The sequence below is a fragment of the Homo sapiens genome, chromosome 6, assembly GCF_000001405.40.
Source record: "Homo sapiens chromosome 6, GRCh38.p14 Primary Assembly".
Classification (NCBI taxonomy): Eukaryota; Metazoa; Chordata; class Mammalia; order Primates; family Hominidae; genus Homo; species Homo sapiens.
Window position 1 is genome coordinate 157216168 of NC_000006.12, and position 19467 is coordinate 157235634.

Consider the following 19467-nt stretch of genomic DNA (forward strand, 5'->3'; position numbering starts at 1 on the left):
GCCCTGTTTTCAAATATTAAATGTGATATATTAGTTTGTGGGCTTGGATTTGATTTGAGCAATCAAATCTTGATAGGAACTGGCATCTCTTCCCACCCACCCAGAGTCTGTCTTTAGCAGCCGTTGCTGAATGGTGAGATCTGTAAGTGCCATGAATTGCTTTCAGTCTGATGCTTGAGAGGCTTGAACGGGGTATTGAACTTAGATTTTTGGAGAACACTCCTTAAAGCCTCTTGCCTGGCTTCCTTTATGGCTTTTCAGTAGTTGAAAAGTGTATTGTTTTTTATTTTCAGGATGGTGGGGAGCTCCTACCTCTTCCCCAACCCTCATCTCCCCCTCCAGCTCAGCAAAGGTACTGGGGTGAGGGGTCATTACCCCCAGAGCAGCCAAAGGGTGCAAGACCCAGCTCTGTCTTCTTAGGAGGAGTGGGTCTTTGTCAAGGGGCCCTGGTTCAGAGCCTGCTCACCTCCACACCTCTGTCTATGTCATCCCTGCAGCATGACAGTGGGCAAAGCATGAGCACAGTCTAGCATGTAATCAGCATTCAGTAAACCATCGTGCTTTTTCATTCTGAAAGCAAATAACAAGCATCATCGTGTGACTCGTGGGGCCACACACGTCAGCAGGTAAGACCCATCCATGGTGATGGCATTGCTGAGATGTGCACAGGGTGCTGTGGGAGGATCCAGGAGAGGGGGAGCCCACCCCGGCTGGGAGGGAGCAACCTGGGAAGGCTTCCTGCAGGAAGCTGCCTTTGGAGACAGAGGGCTCATCATATGGGAGAGAGACAGTTGGAAGAGATCCCTGGGCATTCTGGAATCTCGAAACGTAAGAGTTCAGTTGTGGGTTTTGAAAGGTTCTGAGGGAGGAGTTGGGGCGGGTGCCCCGCGTCTCTCCTGAGAAGCTGGCCTTGGCGAGATGCCGGGCAATTTTAAATATGGGTACAACAGAATGGGATCCTCAATCAGAAAGATGCAGGGATCTGAGGAGTGAACTGGAGACCGAACCCACTGGGGGTTTTGCAAAACCCAAGCAGGGTGGGCCGGGCTGGGGAGGGCAGTGGCCGCCAGCTGAAGCCCTTAAAAGACCAGACAGATTCAAGGGTGTGAGGGTGGTGGGATGTAGAGGTCAGGTGGACATAGGGACAAAAGGGAACGGGGGGTCCTGGCGCCGGTCACTGAAAGTGGTGCTGCTAGTCACAGAGAGGCCAGATCCGAGGAAGGCCTGGGCTGGGCAGCCAGCCTCGGGGAGGGGGTTTGTCTGGCAGGATTAGGGCCCGGAGGCGTCCAGAACCTCTGAAGGCGCTGAGCTGGTGGCAGAGGGAAGCTGAGGTTGCTCACCAGCGGGCCTTTGGGAAAGCAGTGGATCCCCTGCTATCCACGTGGGCAAAAAAGTACCCCAAGGGTCTTTGGGAAGCGGAAGACAGAGGCGGAAGAGGCGGCTCAGAGAGACGACACTGCACAGCGAGGGCCAGAGAGGCCACAGGAAGGTTCATGGCCAAGAAACCAGGAAAGGCAAGGAAACAGGCTGTACCCTAGAGCCCTGGGGGGAGTGCAGCTCTGCCCCACCGTGATGCTAGCCCGGGAGGCCTGTGCCTGACTTGAAGCCACCAGAACTGTAAGCTCGTCCACCTGTGTTGTTTTAAGTCACCAAATTTGTGGTGATTTGTTGCAGAAGCAACAGGACACTGATAGAGGGGCTTTTTGAGTCTGTGGTGCTTATAGGATGTCCGAGGAGAACCGGTGAGGGAGCGGCTGATTGCAGGGGTCTGGGCTCAGCAGGTGGAGAGGGTTGGTGTCATCTCCATAGAGGTGGGGAGTGCGGGGTGAGTGGAGACCTGAGGGTGGGAGCAGATTGCCAGCAAGAGCGTGGAAGGGGCGGGCTGGAAAGAGGAGGCAAGAAGGACAGGACGGAGAGGGCGGGTGGGGCACTGGGAGAGGCCAGGGAGCCCATGTTGGCACCAAGAGCCAAAGGCTTCCAGGAGATGCTGCCACAGGGCCCAGGCTGCAGGACAGGCCCAGATGGCAGCAGAGGGTTCCCTCGATTCTGCAATGGGAGCTCATGGACCATGCAGATGACAGGGCCAGCGTTGGGTGGAGGGGGGGGTGGCTGTGCAGATGACAGGGCCAGCGTCGGGGGTTGCTGCCCTTGCCCACCTTCAGGGCCTGCTATGAAAGGCTGCTCCATGGACACGCCCTTTGAGATGCTTCTCAGGACAGGGGCTCAGGATCCCCCGTGCCCAGCTCACTCCTGCTCGGGAAAGCCTGCCCCACCAGCGACCTTGCCTCTCCTCATGCATGAAAATCATCCTACTTTGCTCTTCACAAAAGTGTGGGTGGAGAAAACGGCCTTCAACACTCCTCAGAGCACCTCCTCGGAGCGGAAGCTGCTTCCTGGGGTGTGTTTCTGTTCTGGAGGTTGCACCTTCGATCCTGAGGCGTGGGAGCTGGCCTGAGGTTGAAGGTGAGGCTGAGGACCTGGGTGAGGCTCCCCAAGGCCCCCGGCTGGGCTGAGCAAAGAACGGGAGCGTGCCCCCACCACTCACAGGGTGTCCACACCTGGAGAAGGAAACCACAGGCTTTGTCACCTTTGTCTTAAGTCAGTGGGACAAACCTAGAAAGTGAGGCATTTTGGACAGCTCCAAGGTGGCTGTGTCCTGGCCTGCCCAGACCGAGGGCCCCGGGATTCTGGAGGCGCAGATTGGATCCCAGGATGCATGACTAGTGACTCCTAAGGTGGGAACCCCTGGGTGAGCGAGGAGTGGGAGGCCGGTGCACATCCACCTTCTGTCCCGGCCTCCTCTTCCGCCGGTCCTGTATTTCTCTCGAAGTCTCATCCCGGCCATCAGAGCCTCAAGACTTCTCAAGCTCCTGGCACATTCTGAGGTAAGCACCTAGGTTGATGGTGGCCTTCTCTCCACACACAGCACAGCCACGCTGGGGAGTGGGGGCCGGTGAATGGCCTGGGGACAGGCCACAAGCAGGCCTAGGTGGGGGTGCCCTGGCCTGCTGTCCCCTCCACCCCTGTCCTGGGAGCCTGTCTGCACCAGCACAGAAAGAATATCACGGCTGTCACCCACAGGGCCTAGCAGCCGGGTTTTTCTCACCAAGAGCTCGTGTGGAGAGGGACGCAACATGTTTCCCTTTTATGAGGCTGCTCCCTGTCCCCAAAGGTGGGGCTGACGGGTGTTCCTGGGAAATGAGAGCCTGCCCTGCCCTTTCCCCGGGGCTCCCTCGTCCATGCTCAGCCTCCCAGAAGCCCCTCCTGCTGAGTTGCCCACAGCCCTCCCTGCCGGCCTGGCCTCTCCTTGCAGCTCTTCCTCTTCTCATGAAGGTGTGTGGAGGTTGGGGTTTGCGCTCTCTCTTCCTTGATTAACCTTGCCAGAGGCTTGTCTGTTGCAGAGAACCCGCTCTCAGTGTCATTGATACCACTCGCTCTGAGTCATGAATTTCTCAGCTTACCCTTTCTTCTCCTTCCCTCTAGTTTAGTTTGTTCTTTACTATCCTGCTTCTTAATTACAACATTTATTTTCATTTCTGTTGAATTTTGTAAAACACATTCCAGTTATCAGTTTTCCCCAGGGAACAGTGGCTCACGTCTGTAATCTCAGCTCTTTGGGAGGCTGAGGCAGGAGGATCACTTGAGCCCAGGAATTCCAGAACAGCCTGAGCAATATAGTGAGACCCCCATCTTCACAAATAATTTAAAACTTAGCTGAGCATGGCGGCGTGTGCCTGTAGTTCCAGCTGCTCAGGAGGATGGGACGGGAGGATCGCTTAAGCCCAAGCAGTGGAAGCTGCAGTGAGCAGTGATGGCACCGTTGCACTCCAACCTGGGTGACCGAGTGAGACCCTGTCTCAAAAACAAGACAAAAAAAATACCAGTTTTCTTCTCAGAACATTCCTATGCCATGACTGTTGTTTTATAAAAACCCACAATGGCTGTGTTCTTTTCCTCTCCTACTCATGATTTTTTTTGGAGGCTCTTTTAGTTTGAAATAGGTTTTATTTTTCCCTGTTTTTCCTTGTACTATTGAATTTTAGTTTTATTGCATTATTATCACAACATGGCTTATATAATTTCTATATTTGATCACTTTTCATCTCTTATTTCTTCCATCATTACTTCTCTGCTCACGCTTGCCTTCTGGAATCTCCAGGAATACCCAACAGATATTTTGCGTTCTTGCCTTTTTCTTGTCTTGTTATTTATTATTTTCGCCTCTTTATCTTTTCTTCTGGGTGCTCAGAGAATTTCTAGAGTCATTAGTTTAGCTATCTGTTATATCCAATATGCTGTTCATGGCTTCTGTTGAGCTGAAAAACCAATGAGTAATTAATGTTTTACTTCTAAAAACAATATTTTTTATTTATATATTTGTGCATATCTTGGTATAAAACAATATTTTAAAGTCTCAAATTGTTCTCTTCTACTTTTAGAGACAGGGTCTCTCTCTGTCACTCAGGCTGTAGTGCAGTGGGGTGTGGGTATTGGGTGGGCACAGTCATGGCTCACTGCAGCCTCAAACTCCTTCCTGGGCTCAAGCCATCCTCCTGCCTCAGTCTCCCAAAGTGCTGAGATTACAGGCTTGAGCCACTGCACCTGGCCCGGTTCCTTTTTCACAGAAGCAATTTTCTCCCAAGTTTCCTTTAGAATAGAGTTTTCTTCTGTTTCTTGGAGAACATCAATTTCACAGGAAAATAGTTGCTGGAATTCCTCACATAAGCCCCCTTATTTTACATTTCTGGATCTTTTATACGTTCAATTATTTTTCTCCATAATCTATTGGATTTGAGATGGATTTTTTTGGAAATTGTGTTGAAATATTTCAGTCTCACACAAAGGAGTAAAGAGAAACTGAAGGGACCCCGCACCTCCAGAGTCCCTTCGGTTTGCCCCCTTCCCGCCCCTGGCCGGCTCCTGGCCACAAGTGGCTGCACCTCCACAGCCTGAGGTAGGACACGACGTCCCCGCTCTTCTGTTTCTTTTGGAATTTGCTGGAGCTTTTGTCACCTAGAACATGGCCAGGTTTTTATTATGAAAAAATACATCTAATACCTTTTTTAAAACATTTTATTTTGCAATGATTGTAGACTCACAGTAAGTTGCAAAAATAGCACGGAGGTGCCCCATGTGCCGTTCCCGGTTTCTCCGGTTTCTCCGGTTTCTCCGGTGCTGTGTGCGAACCAGAGGGCGGTGTGGCGACCAGGAAGCGGGGCCAGCATAGTGCGCGTGCGCAGAAACAGCCCCGCGGCGCCGGCAGCCGTTCTCCCTTTCCTAGACGGCAGGGGCCGATTCAGCCTGGGCGGGCGTGCTGCCCTCGTGTTGCTGCCATCACGGGGACTCTGAAGATGACTCCTCCATGACTAGACAATGAGAGTTTATACCAGGGCCCCTGGTTCTCTGTCCTCACAGGCCTCTCCCTGCTCACTTCACCACACACTCACACGTGCACACTCAGACACACGTACACGCGCGCGCACACACACACATACACACTTTCACACACACAGGTGCGTGCACACACATATACACTTACAGCCATGCACACACACGTACACACACTCATACACACGCTCAGTCACACATACTTCCACACAGTCATGCACACACACGTACACATACACTTAAGCTCAGTCACAGTCACGCACACTCTCGCATTCATGTGCACACACGTGCACATACGTACACATACACACACGCTGGGCCAGGGCTTGTCCCTGGAGCCAGGCGCCCGCAGTCCCCCCAGCCCTGGGAGCCCGGGCATCCTCACTGCCTCCCTGCTGCCTGCAGTCTCAGGTCCCCAGGGCTGTGCTCAAGGGTGGCCTCTGTCCTCTGCCGGTCTTAGCCCCAGCAGCCCTGTGGGTCTCTTCCTGGGAGGCCTCCTGCCCCGTGTTGCATGGTTGCATGGTGTGGGGATGTAGGTGTGTGGGTTTTGGAGGGTGTGGGCCCTGCAAGCTCAGTGGAGTACAGCGAAAGTTCCGGAGACTTTTCCCTCTAGATAGGGGGACCAACTGGTCCCAGCTTTCCTGGGACTTCCCTCGTTTTGGCCCTGAAAGTCCCACATCCCTGGAAGTCCTGGGTCACCCTCCCCTTGCCCTCCTAGGACCCTCTGGCCTCGTTCCTGAGTCAAGGAAGGGCCGCCCTGCGGGTGTCCCCAGCCAAGGGCTCTGCTGCAATGCGTCCACCCCCTCTGTGGCTAGAGGAATCTGTTGGCGTCCCACTGGTGATTGGTGATGTCCCCTCACTCCCAGCCCTGTGGCCCCAACCTGGGCTGCCCAGGCTCTCCTGCCTGCCGTCCACCTCTCCCGCTGCCAAACGTGCTCTTCCCTGCCTTTCCACGTTCTCATCACAGTCGCACACTCTTTTGCCGGTTGGCAGGGCTGGAGAGAGTGGGCTGGAGTCACTCTGACCTGGCCTCTTGGGTCACTGTCCTCATCTCAGGCAGGGTTGTCCCAGCGGCTCTCACATGACTCTATGGCTTTGCCCACCTTAGAGAGTGGTTCACACGGTGGTTGCCCCCACCTGGCCCTGGCCTGGTTCCTCTTGTCGTTTCTTCAAGATGAGCCTCCTCCCAGCCCTCCTGGGTGGCTCCTGCCATGTGGGGCCCAGTTCTCTTGCTCCTTTTCCTCAATAGAGAAAACAGTCAGAAGCCGTGTTCTGTGTATATGGCATAGGTCACATCCCTTGTCCACCCAGACCCCAGCTGTGAGGGCAGGGCCTTTGCCCAGCTCGGAGCTGGGGTGGGGCTGGGCCCCTGGAAGGCAAAGCACATAGCAGTGGGAAGGTGAAGACCCTCCAGGAAAACAGCTGCCCGCGCTTGTGGGTGTGTTTTCTCCTTAGCTTACTGGGCATCGATTGATTTTACTGTTAAGGAGAGAAGGCAGTGTTTCCCCTTTCCTCAGTGACATTGTGGGGCCATTTATGAGCTGTGGTTTTCCTGCCTGCCTTTTTGGGAGGGAGTGGCTCTGTCTGCCCCAGTGCAAGGCAGCTTGGGGAACACAGATGAGTCGCCAGGGAGGACTCCTTGAAGGGCAGTGGTGAGGCAGGAGGACCGCCCAGGGGCCCTCCAGGTGACGAGCAGCTCCTGATTGGTCTGAGGAGGCCCCTATGCATCGCTCTCTGGTCCGTGGAGCGAAGCGACAGCTGCAACCTTTGTGCAGAAAACACAGAGAATCCCGCTGGTGTCACAGGGCCGGGGATCTTTAGTACTCATGGGCACCGAAACAGCCCAAATGCCCTGGGGGCAGGCAAACCCCCAGAGCTGATTTGGAAGGAGGTCTCCCCCAGTACCAGAGGAAAGCGCTGGGCACCCCCCCCCCGCGTGGTGGCAGTGGACTGTGACTGCTGGTGCCCCTCCGTGTCACTCCCTCTGGTCCCCCGCAAGCTCTTGGCACTCATGTCCAGGAGGCTCCCATTGCTCAGCGGATGTTGAGGGAGCACTTTGTACTAAAAGCGTGCTGGGGCAAAACGACTTCTTGATCTCTTCATGTTTTAGGCAGCTCCTCCCGTTATGGGCCCCAAGAGCGCTGCTACCTCCCAAGGGAACACAGAGAAGGTGGCTGGCGTCTGTCCTGCGCAGCGAACGGTGGTCCGGGGATGCTCCTGGACGGGGTGGAGCAGATGGATGACAGAGAAGTTGGGGGGCCCTGAGGAACAAGAGAAGCTGTGTTGGTGGCAGCAAAGGAAGACACCAGCCTGAAGGAGGTGCGGGACAGACAGGTGCTGGATGGAGTGCTGCGTGGGGATGAGGATGTTATTTTTGACAAAATGAAGGGGAACATTCAGGCGGTCATTAGCGAGCATGGTAATGGGCTTGTCGCTTATGCTCGGTGACAAGCTGTAGTGGCTTCTAATTTCTCCTGCACCTCCAATTACCCTTCAGGAGCAAGACCGTCCTCACGGTCAAGCCTTTCCAGCCAGCAGATCCAAGCAAGGAATAAGATCTATGCAGCTTCCATGTGTCTCTGGGAGAGAAGATTGATAAAAGCAATCAGAAATTTCCGGAATTGCCTGGAGAAGAGAAGGCCAGCGGGAGGGGAGGGGGCGAAGATGAGGAAGGAGAGGGCACAAGTTAATAACACCTGTCACGTTGCCGAGGGGATGCTGAGGGCCACAGCTGGGCTCTGTTTCGGCTTCGAGCGGAACAAAGAAGAAAGGGCAGCTGCTCCAGCAGCGAGGAGGTGGCTGGACATGAGGAAGTCTGTGGCTGACGGGCTTCGGGGAGGCCTCCAGGGAGCTGCAGTCCCTGGGGACAGCACCCCGGTGCAGGTGGCTCCGGTGGCCCCTGGGTTTGGCGCCCAGCACATTCCCTTGACACAGCATGGCTATTTAAGGCCCAGGCCAGCATCCCATCGGGTGCTTTTAGCCGCCTGCGTCTCCTGCGCCTTTGGGGCTTCTGGGGCCTTCGTGACAGCAATCACCAGGCCTTTCATCCCCGTGGCTCAGAGCATCCCCCTCAGGGGAGCGGCAGCCTTGGAGGGGGTGAGTGGGGAGGGGTGAGTGGGGAGCGGCTGAGGGGGGCCGGCGGGCCCGCTCCGTTGTCCCCTGCAGCGGCAGGCGCTGGAGAACTCGGCTGCAGTCATTAGAGCCGGGAGTTGGCGACTGTTGGGGCCTTGTGTGGGGATGAGCTGTTAGGACTTTCCTGCCTTTAAAGAACAGGGACTGGTAAAATCGTATATATGAAATCAAAGCAAAGAGGAACCTGTTTTAGAGGTGAACAAGAGAGAGCTCAGAGAAGCGCATTAGGGACATATGGCATTTGTCAATCAAACGCAGAGCAACCTTCAAAAAGCCATTAGAAGGCAGCCCCATGCCGGTTCCGCCATTTGTGCCGGCTGAGGGCTCCCCCGTCCCGCAGGCCCCACAGACGCTCTGTTTCTGGGACTAATTAGCCTTCCAGAGGGCAATCAAGGGCCTCTGCTGGAACTTTCTTAGGAACTGAGCCGTTAGATGGCTTCAAATGGACACCACTAGAAACAGGCAGGAGCCAATTAGGCAGCGGCTCCCTCCCGGGGCCCGGCCAGGCTGCAGAGCGAGCCAGGAGGCTCCAGCAGCCTCTTGGTGCTCCCTCTCTCTGACAACGCTCCTGCCTCGTTCCTCCCCACATCCCCAATCCTTGCACTGAGATCATTAACCTTCAGGGCTCCACGAGGGCAGGCATTGGGTCTGCTTTACTCGCTGCTGGGTCTTCGGAGTCTGGAAGGGTGCCTGGCACGGAGCAGGTGTTCACTCAGTGTGGCCAAATGTCTGGGTTTTGTCCCAGCGGAACGAATCACGTGGGATTTCCTTTGCGGAGCATACTTTTAACAGGCCAGCCATGTCCACTCCCGCTTGAGTTGGACACGATTTAGGCATAGGGAAAAGGGGCGTTAGTGCCGTCTTGCCACACTCGCCAGCCAGGCCCACTGGCCTCGTCCCTGAGTTTCCCAGGGGAAGTGGGTGCCAGAGACCATCCAGTGCCCCCACACCCAATGAGTCTGTCGACTGAGTGCCGCAACCAGGTCCCAGCTAGGGGCCCGCAGGCTGCCCTTGGCCTGGGACACCATTGCGTTTTCCCGCAGGACCTGCCCACCGCTGACCTACCGCATCCGCTGCTGGCCTCCACCTGCTAGCCCAGGCCAGGGCCCAGGGTGTGGGTGCTGGACACGTCGAGGGGCACAGGGAGCCAAGACTGCCTCATCCAAGCCCCAGAGCCTGCAGCTAACAAGCTAACAGGGAGACGGTATGTAGCAAACAGTCACACAAATAGTTCTTTCCCTCACTCCTTGTGTCCTCCTATTCACCCTCCCTTCTTTGTCCTTTTCTTAAAATTAGAAGCTAAAAATATGTCCATTGTAGAAACTTAGAACAGTACAAGAGCATAGAGAAACAAAGTTAAAAATATCAGTTACCTGTAATTCTGGCATCCAGAAATATCCACTTTAATAAGGTGTTCAATTTTGTAAGCAAACTTTAAATTTTATTATATCCTAAGCCTCTTCATGTCATTAATTTTTCTAAAATTTGAGCCTTTGTGGCTGCCTAGGGCCCCATTTATTTCACCCATCCCCAGTTGTTGGACATTCATGTCTCTTCCACATTTTCACCCTCATAAAAAAATGCCGCCACAAACATCCCAGAAGATAAATCTTTGTCACAATCTCTAATTAATTCATTAAGATAAATTCCAGGGAGTGAAAAACAGTGTTTCAAATGGTATGACTATTTTTAAAGCTATCTGGACATGTGGCCAAGTTACACTCTTGGGAACGTCATGGAAAATCCCAGCAGAAGTCTAAGAAAGGATCTAGATCCAGCTCCTTGAACCCAGCCAGCACTGGGTTATCTTCCCGCTTTGCGAAATTTGTCCTGTTTTCATTTCCTTGTCAGCAAGATTGAATTTTTTTTTTGTATGTTCCTAACCCATCTATATTTTGTTTTCTGGAAATTTTCTATTTGTATCCTTTGTCAATATTTTTTTTACCAGACTACTAATCTTTTATGAAAGTTTATTGTTTGAATTATAATCATTAGAAATTTCTCCTTTGTCACTTTTTCCCTCCCCTCCCACCCCCACCCCCAGCCCCAGTTCTGTGTTTCAGACCTCAGTGTCTTTATCTACAAAATGAATCGCTGGGCCAAACCACCTCCTGACTCCAAAAGTCTTTTCAAGAGCTCAAGCCGGCTGTGTTCTGCCAGATATGTCTGGTATAATCCTCCCTCATCTGCAGCCCGGTTCAGGTCTCCCAGCCCTTAGCATAGCTCCAGGAAACTTGAATTCCAATGCCTGCCTGAGTTTGAGTTTCACACTTGAATAACCAAGTCAGGTTTGCTAATCAGGCTTGCAGGTGTGAGTGGGAGCTGGTCCCTCCCAGAGGAGGGTCAGGGTGTCCACACCAGGAACCTCTAAGGCTGGGCAAGGCCGAACTGCTGCAGAAATGCAAGGCATGGCCCAACCACCCCCATTTATTGGTTGAGGAAATAATTCTGTGACATGAAAGAATTTATCTCTAAATATGAAAAGGAGATTTCAGAACAATGTGAGCCATTCATGCACACACGTGCATGCACACCCACACGTGCATGCACACACACACGTGGAGACTGGGGTCGTGCACACCCACACATGGAGACTGGATCGTGCACACACACACGTGGAGACCGGGGTCATGCACACACACACGGAAACCGGATCATGCACACACATACGTGGAGACCAGGGTCATGTGCACGCACACACATATGCACACCCACACGTGGAGACTGGGGTCATGCACACATTGCACATCCACACGTGTAGACCAGGGTCATACAAACACACACGTGGAAACCAGATCATGCACACACATGTGGAGACTGGGGTCATGCACATCCACACATGGAGACTGGATCATGCACACACACACGTGGAGACCAGGGTCATGCACATACACACGTGGAAACCGGGGTCATGCACACACACACGTGGAAACCGGATCATGCACACACACGTGGAGACTGGGGTCGTGCACACCCACACATGGAGACTGGATCATGCACACACACACGTGGAGACCGGGGTCATGCACACACACATGTGGAAGCCGGATCATGCACACACACACACGCGTGGAGACTGCGGTCATGCACACACACACATGAGACCGGGGTCATGCACACACACGCACGCATGCCCACACATGGAGACCGGGGTCTGTAAGCATAGCCTTCAAAACATTAACCAGTTCCACCACTAGGAGGTGGGGTTACCCATTTTTATTTGGTTCTTTTAATTGTATTTTTCTACGACAAATGTCAATTATCCTGCAATAAGCAACACCCCTCCCCTCCTTCCTTTCAGATGTTGCTTCCAAATCAATTGCTGTGAGGCCGTTGCCTCTGAAGTTGCACTCCCACTTCTGGGCGTCGCCTCACCACATCCTCCAGGTCTTGCCTCTAGATGCCGGGGGCCAGTTCCCAGGTGTCAGAGAGTGCAAGGAGAGTCAGGGGCCATGGCAGGCCTGGACCCAGGGAGTGTGGAGGGGGCATTCTCCCAAGCTATGGGTGGGTTTATCAACACACATTATTAACAAGACCCAGAACTGGCCAAATCTTGAATTCAGCTGGTAAAATTATAAGTTAATTTTTAAAATTAGGAAAACAGAATTGGCAACACAGGGCTCATGATGTCTCGTAGATATTCCTATGTCATGACTGTTAAAATTTAAGAAAACCCAGTTTTTAGCCTCTATGGTTGGGCCTGGAAAAGGAAGAGGCGGCCATGAGGTCAGCCCCCGGCATCTGTGTGTGACAGCGTAGGACAGTGTCAGAAGACCTATGTGGGGGCTGTGGGTGGTGGCCTCTCTACTCCACACCTTGGGCTTCCCAGGGGGACAGTGGCTCTGAGTCCCCTTGGGCTCTGCCTTGCAGGGTGCCGGAGTGTCACATAAGACCAAAGGTAGCTCTGGGGTTTGATGAGCCCTGACACTGGCCTCTGTCATCAGGCTCCCTGAGTGGGGATCAAAACCGGGAGGCGGCGCCAGGCTGTGGGATTGGGAGAGCTGTGCCCAGCCCAGCACCAACTGCCCGGGTCTGTGCATGGGCCCAGAACCGAGGGTGAGGGCGCGTTCCTGGGGGATCATTCCCTGTACCCAGAGATGCCACCTCCAGAAGAGTTACCCCAGAGCCACCAGACATTTCCTGGAACTTTTCTGAGCTCCTTCTGTCCTGTGGAGTCACAGCTGCGGCCTCCCCTTCCTCCACGCATGTCTCGGTGGACATCTGGGCAACTCCGAGTCTCCACTCAGCCACATCAGGTGCATTTAACTCCCAGGCTCTCCGTGAGCATCGCGCCGGCAGCCACTTTGTTCCTGCCTCCCTGGCTGCTCGCCCACTTGTCTGGTCTCCATGGCGACGAGCACCTCTAATGGATGTGCCGAGGTCACACCCGCTGCTTCTTTGCTGAGACTTGTCACCTCCCTGCCAGTGCACGCCCCCATCTCACAGCCTCCTCTTCCCCAGATTACCCTGCACGCTGAGGGTCTAGCTTCACCTCCTAAGATGAGTTCCTCCCTGACCAACTCTCTTGTTTTCTGCTCAGTTTTAAGCATCTCAAAGATAGTTTTCTTGAAGGTTTGCTGACCTGCTTTGGACTCTAGTCTTTGGACAGTGGGGAATGGGGATGGCTGGGGTTGTTGATACGCTCTTTGGGGATGTGGGACACGGTGGTCTGGCCGGTGATGGTACTGCCGTCAGCAGCATCTGGAAGAGGCACAGGCTGTGGTGTGGGGAAGGCCGGTTTGAAACCACCACACAACAGCTTGTCAGGTGCGTTTAGCAAATAATGACTGAGCACCTGCTGTGAAGCAGGAATACACTGGGGGACCAGGCAGTCTCCTTCGCATAGCCTTCAGGCTAGTGAGCACAGGGTCATCACATTTAGCAAACAAATACAGAAGATGCCCAGTTAAATTAGCATAAGAATCAATATTCATTGTTTATCTGAAATTCAAATTTAACTGGGCATCCTGCATTTTGTCTGGCAACCCTAAGTGGGAGAGAAAGAAAACAAATAAATACAGAAATAACATCATTCCAGGATTCTGGTGTGTGCTAGGCAGAAAAGGCCAGTGTGCTATGAAAGCATCCCAAGGGGACAAGTGGATGGTTAGGGACGGCCTCGTGACATTCTGGAGCATGGGAGGAGCCAACATACACAAAGCCTAGGGGAGGACACTCCAGGCAGCTGGGGCAGCAGGTGCAGAGGCCCCGCGGTGAGGAAGAGTTTGACGCAGTCCTAGGCCAAGCAGGCAGGTGTGGCTGGGTGGAGTGGCTGGCGGGCAAGTAATGTGTAAACTTAAATTGATGACATAATCCACGCGGCCACAAGGAGTAGGTGCTCAACAAATTATAGCTTTTATGTCTGATTATTGATAATCACAATTTTAAAAGTCACACCAAATATGAATTCCAAACATTTCATGAAACACATCCTTTGGTGCACTAAACTGCTATATTTATCTTAACTTTCTATAAAGAGGCTATTTCAGTGCATACCATACTGAATATCATCATCCAGCCAAGCATAACGTATTTTGCCTGTACATTTAAAAGTACTCTTTCAAAATTAAAATGCAGGGCTGGGTGCGGTGGCTCACGCCTGTAATCCCAGCACTTTGGGAGGCCAAGGCAGGTAGATCACTTGAGGTTTGGAGTTGGAGACAAGCCTAGCCAACATGGTGAAACCCTGTCTCTACTAAATGTAAAAAAAAAAAAAAAAAAAAATTAGCCGGGCATGGTGGCGCAAGCCTGTAATCCCAGCTGGTCTACAAAGCAGGAATAATAACACCTCAGGCTCCAGGGCCATCAGGAGAAGCAGGGAAACAGTGTCTGTCAGGGTGTTTGGAGGCCCGCTGAGGGCCACGGAAAGGAAGGGTGGGGTGATTTCTGTTACTCTCAGAATTGTCCCAATTATCTCCTCTTTCTCCTAAGAGATAAGGAAGAGAGTCTGTGTCACCTACAGTGCCCACAGCTTCCAGGCAGTTCCAGAAAATCGTCTTCCAGCTTCGTTTTCCTGAGTAGCTTGCTTTCAGTCTGCAGAGTGGAGGATGGAAGATTTAACAAACTGCTCTTAAGCGTTAAAGTACAATTTAGTGCCGAGACATGTGTCTAATGGAGCTTAACGTTTGAAGGCTAAATATCAATGGCAGCGTTAAAGGGAGCTGTAATTCACCCTCCTCCCAACCGCTTTGCCCTTCTTAGGTAGTTACTAGGCCCAGGTTTACCTCTAAAGTGTGTCACACTATCCCAACACCAGTGGGGATGGGGAGGTCTGTCCCCAGCGGAACTTGCTCCCATGGCCTGTGCTGGCAGGCACTGGGCCTGGCTTCACATCTTCACTCTGTGACGCATCAGCCAGGTGCACGGCTTCCTCCTCTACACACGAGGATGGGGTGCTGCTGTCTACCCACAGGCACTGGTGCAGATTCAGTCAGATGGCACGGGGTTGACAGGCTCCACGCCTTGCCTGGACCACAGGAGACATTCAATGGCAGCCCAGGACAAGGCCAACACCAACTTTGAGGCCTTTCATGTGGCAAGGGCCCCGGGCACGCCATCATCATTGCTGAGAGTGATTGTGTGCTCACATGTGTGTGTGTCAGTGGCACGAGCTGCAATCCAGTCCCCATACCGAAGCCCCCCAACACACAGCGGATGCAGAGTCCAGAGACCCCCCCAGCTCCTGAATCTTCTCCTTCCCAGTCATGGATACCTTGAAGTCAGGCTCAGTCCTTCAGGTCGGGCTCTGATCTCTATTATCGGAGCCTAGGTGGGCACACGCTTTAGGAGGGGGCAGTGCAGGGCCCCTGCTTTGAATTCCAGGTGCAGCCACGTTACAGGGAAGTCAGCTGTGCTCGGGAAGTGTGTGACCTTATGTTTTTGCTGCACCTCAAAAGAAAACTTTACACTTTAAATTAACAGCATGTCCACTGCCAGTATTTGTGGTTACTCCCTGCAACGTAAATCTCTTTTAGAGATGTGTGAGAACAGCATACGTAATGAAACATCAACGTGAAACTTGATTTAGAGTGCCTTTTCATTAATATAACAAATGAAGTGGACCAAAAATGGAAAGTATATTCCTTTGGGCCTAATTAAAACACTGAACAAAACACATGTATGTGTATATTTTAAATGAAGACATTCAGTAGCTAGAATTAGCTACAAAAATTAATTCAAATTGAAAAGTACATTATGAGTGCATTGTTGTTATTAACATAGCCAATATGCTTCCTCTGAGATATCTCCAATAATGTGCACCTGATTTAGTGCCTGTGTGATGTGACAGGCAGGCTTTGCTTTAAAAATACCGCACACACAACAAAGTTGGCCCACCGGGGGACCTCGCAGCTGGTTTAACTGCGCTGTCTTTTGGCCAGAGGAGGATTTCCAGGCAGAGTGTAGGAGTCAGAGTGAGGATGTCCTCTCTGACTGCGGGGCTCTTATCCTCAGTCCAGCTTCTGAGGGCCTGGCCAGAGCTGGGGAAGGGGCAGGCTCTGTTGAAACGGAGAGGTGTATTGAGGGGTCAGGGCCTGGAAGGCCCAACCTGGCATCCAGGAACACGTCTCTGATGGTGGCCAGGAGATACGTGGAGGGTACCAGGGGATAGGCGTGAAGGACAGTGGCCTGAGTGGAAAGACGGTCTGATTCCACGCCGAGTTGAGGGCAGGGAGTCGGTGCAGTGTTGGCCATGACCCCTCAGCCCCAGTCCTGCAGAAGCAGGGCACTGAGGGGGCGCACACAAACTTAGGGAGGGGCCCCAGCCCAAGGCAGGATGCTGGGAGCCCACCTTCTGAAGGGTGGCAGGTGGCCCCCCCCAGTGACAATTCTGGTTGATGGCAGAAGACACCCCAGAGGCCAGGCCACCTGACAGAGAGGTCCCTCAACCATTGGGGACCGGGCTTTTTTTCTCGGCTCTGGAGCAGAACTCCTTAACCTAGCCTTTAGGGACGCAGATCGGCCTCCACACTTGGTGGGAAATGGACCCGAGGAGCCAAAGATGTGAAATAAGGGCCTGGAGAAGTTCTGGAACACGCTGAGCTCCATGCAAGGGTGGCAGGTGCCCTTCAGGGACTGCTGATGTGAGGACGCAGCTAGGAATGGAGGACGCTCTCCAAACAGGGATGGGAGGTTTGTGTTTACTGTGGGTCCACCTAGAACTCCTGGCTGGCCAGCCCTGGAACCTCAGTACTTACCTGGAAATGGAAACACCAATAGTATCTATGCTCTTGGATTGATGTGAGGATGAAATTAAATACTTCATGTGAAGTATCATTCCTCAGAGTAGTAAGAGCTGCAAAATTGTTAGTCATTATTCTTGTTACTCCACAAGTTACTGGCTCCTATTCCAGCCCCTGGGGACTGCAAGAAAGTCAAGGATCAGAACAATAACTGACATTTGTACAGGGCTCTGTAATTCACAAATCACTCTCCTTTAAACGGGCAACGACGTACGCCAATTATCATTCTGATCTTCACTGGGGAAACTGAGGCTCAGAGGGCATGTGACTTCCCCAGCATCACACAGCTATGAAGGATAGATGCAAGCTCCAATCCGAGTCCCTTGTTCCTCCTCCTGTACCTCCCACCCTGAAGGCAGGGGAGGGGGTTCCCTTGGAAGAACCCAGAGAAAGCTTTACAGAACTGTGGCCCTCTCCCTCACAGGCTGGGACAGAAGAAACGAAGCCAGGCAGGACAGGTGCAGACTGGCAGGAGTGAGCTGACCAGGGTCTCCCCTGGAACCCTTTGTTCTGATCAGCAACTGGCTTTATTCTCATGCAGTAGGAACACTGGTTTTCATGGTGATGGGAGGACCCAAGGTCCCAGGTCAAATCTCCCCATTTCTGGGTGATTTATTGGAAGATTGGCGGCTGCTACCCAAATCTTTGTATTTAATCGGATGAAGAGGCACAAAGTAAGGAATTCTTGGATCTCAAGTTGTCAGAATGGGGCCTTCTGCATTTGCTGATGCTGAGTCCCTTTCCAGGAGCACATGTCCAGGTAAGCAGACACCACCCAGCCAGGTCTTTTCCCAGGCTGGCTCCAACAAGAGGCCTTGTGTGTGTGATCAGCAGTGTTCCCTGCACCGTGTGGCTGCTAATGGTTTGGTGAAGCTAACGTTCTCCATGAACAGGCCCAAAGAGCTTCCCTTCTCCACCTGGCCCTGGTCCCAGCTTTCATCTCAGCAACATAGAAGGATTGTAACACCTGCTGCTGCCCGGTGAGTGACATCTCCCACAAGTCCAGGCTCAGGATTGGGTCCAGATGAGGGTGTGGAGGAGGCTTGCCTATTGGAGATTTTGAGAAAAGACTAAGGTGGAAAAGGTTGGTTGGGCCTCTTTGTTCTGAAAGACAGTGACCTAGTCCCAGTCTTCAGAGGTTGAGAGGGACACAGGCTTGTTTGCAAATAGCAAGACAATTGCATGGGGACACTAGCGTTTGTTTGGGTGTGTACAGGAAGCCCTGCTCACACCTGGGGAAATGGACTTTGAAGACTCATTGCTACCCCAACAAGTGATGGGGACAGAAAAGATCACTGGGCTCAAGGGCTACTAGTTTTGTTGTGGTTGTGTTTTGTTTTGTTTTGTTTTGTTTCGAGATGGAGTCTCACTCTGTCGCCCAGGCTGGAGTGCAGTGGCACTATCTCAGCTCACTGCAACCTCCACCTCCCAGGTTCAAGCGATTCTTCTGCCTCAGCTTCCTGAGTAGCTGGGACTACAGATGAGCACCACCACGCCTGGCTAATTTTTGTATTTTTAGTGGAGATGGGGTTTCACCATGTTGTCCAGGCTGGTCTCGAACTCCTGACCTCAGGTGATTTGCCCACCTCGGCCTCCCAAAGTGCTGGGATTACAGGCGTGAGCCACGTGCCCAGCCGGCCACTGGGTATTTTTAAGAACCAAGGAGAGAGGAGGTTTTGAATGGCAGAAGATTAGAAGACTAGACCCAGCTGCTGAAACAAAGGCCAGGTGGTGGGGCCCTCCAGTAGGGACCCCCAAACCACTGGCTGGTTCTCACCATTAGGTGCTTTCACTGGCCTCTGCCTTTGCATGCACTGTTCCTGGCCTGAAACACCCTTCACCTCACTCTTGGCCTTCAACGCTTAACCTTCATTGAACACCATGTGGATTTGAGTGACATTCCAAGATTTGGAGCAGATTGAATTTGGTGTTGAGAGGAGCAAGAGAGAGAAAGACGTCAAAATAAGTCAAATGTGTTCCTACTGGTGTATTGCAACTTGTAGTGATGCAGGAAGTGGGGAAATTGGAAAGGAGGGAGTTTGTGGGGGAGGAGATGCTCTCCTTCTTTGAGCAGGGTGGATTTCTCCGGCCAGTGACACAGTCATTGAGGACAGCCAAAGTCATCAAGAAAAGACACAGTGAGAACTCAGCCTTGGGGGTGGTGACCTGGGAGTCCCTGGGTTGCTAGTTAGTGGTCAGAACTGGGCCTGATGGACAAACTCAGGCAAGGTAGGGGTTAGGTGGGGACCAAAGCAGGCCAGGCTGATGGTGGAGTGCGCAGGGCCAGGCACCCTCCCTGGAGGCATCAGCCTGGGCTTGCTTTACTACTCTGGAAGGGAACCCAAGCCCCAGGACGCTAAATCTTATGCCAATGTTCAAATATAACCATTTCTTTCTTTTTTTTTTTTTTTTTTTTGAGACGGAGTCTCTCTTTGGAGTGCAGTGGCGCCATCTTGGCCCCCTGAAACCTCCGACTCCCTGGTCCAAGCGATTCTCCTGCTTCAGCCTCCCGCGTAGCTGGGATTACAGGCATGCGCCACCGTGGCCAGCTAATTTTTGTATTTTCACTAGAGACAGGGTTTCACCATGTTGACCAGGATGGTCTCGATCTGCTGACCTTGTGATCCGCCCGCCTCGGTCTCCCAAAGTGTTGTTGGGATTACAGGCATGAGCCACCACGCCGGACCAAATATAACCATTTCTAAAA

At 52.7% G+C, this 19467-nt stretch overlaps 1 long non-coding RNA gene across 1 annotated transcript, besides 3 other annotated features; it reads right to left on the minus strand.

Annotated features, from left to right (window-relative positions):
• Positions 1-3985: 3985 nt before the first annotated feature.
• LOC124901445 (uncharacterized) lies at positions 3986-5180 on the minus strand. Its single transcript, XR_007059830.1, has 2 exons — positions 5100-5180; positions 3986-4316 (listed from the first exon to the last, which is right to left on the minus strand). It is a non-coding gene; the product is annotated as an uncharacterized LOC124901445 (long non-coding RNA).
• Positions 10807-11307: an enhancer, noted in NCBI's record as "H3K4me1 hESC enhancer chr6:157548108-157548608 (GRCh37/hg19 assembly coordinates)". NCBI's record gives its function as "activates a minimal SCP1, AML or CMV promoter by ChIP-STARR-seq in naive H9 embryonic stem cells {active_cell/tissue: H9 hESC(naive)}" and the evidence as "EXISTENCE:reporter gene assay evidence [ECO:0000049][PMID:30033119]".
• Positions 11308-11808: an enhancer, noted in NCBI's record as "H3K4me1 hESC enhancer chr6:157548609-157549109 (GRCh37/hg19 assembly coordinates)". NCBI's record gives its function as "activates a minimal SCP1, AML or CMV promoter by ChIP-STARR-seq in naive H9 embryonic stem cells {active_cell/tissue: H9 hESC(naive)}" and the evidence as "EXISTENCE:reporter gene assay evidence [ECO:0000049][PMID:30033119]".
• Positions 14990-15490: an enhancer, noted in NCBI's record as "H3K4me1 hESC enhancer chr6:157552291-157552791 (GRCh37/hg19 assembly coordinates)". NCBI's record gives its function as "activates a minimal SCP1, AML or CMV promoter by ChIP-STARR-seq in naive H9 embryonic stem cells {active_cell/tissue: H9 hESC(naive)}" and the evidence as "EXISTENCE:reporter gene assay evidence [ECO:0000049][PMID:30033119]".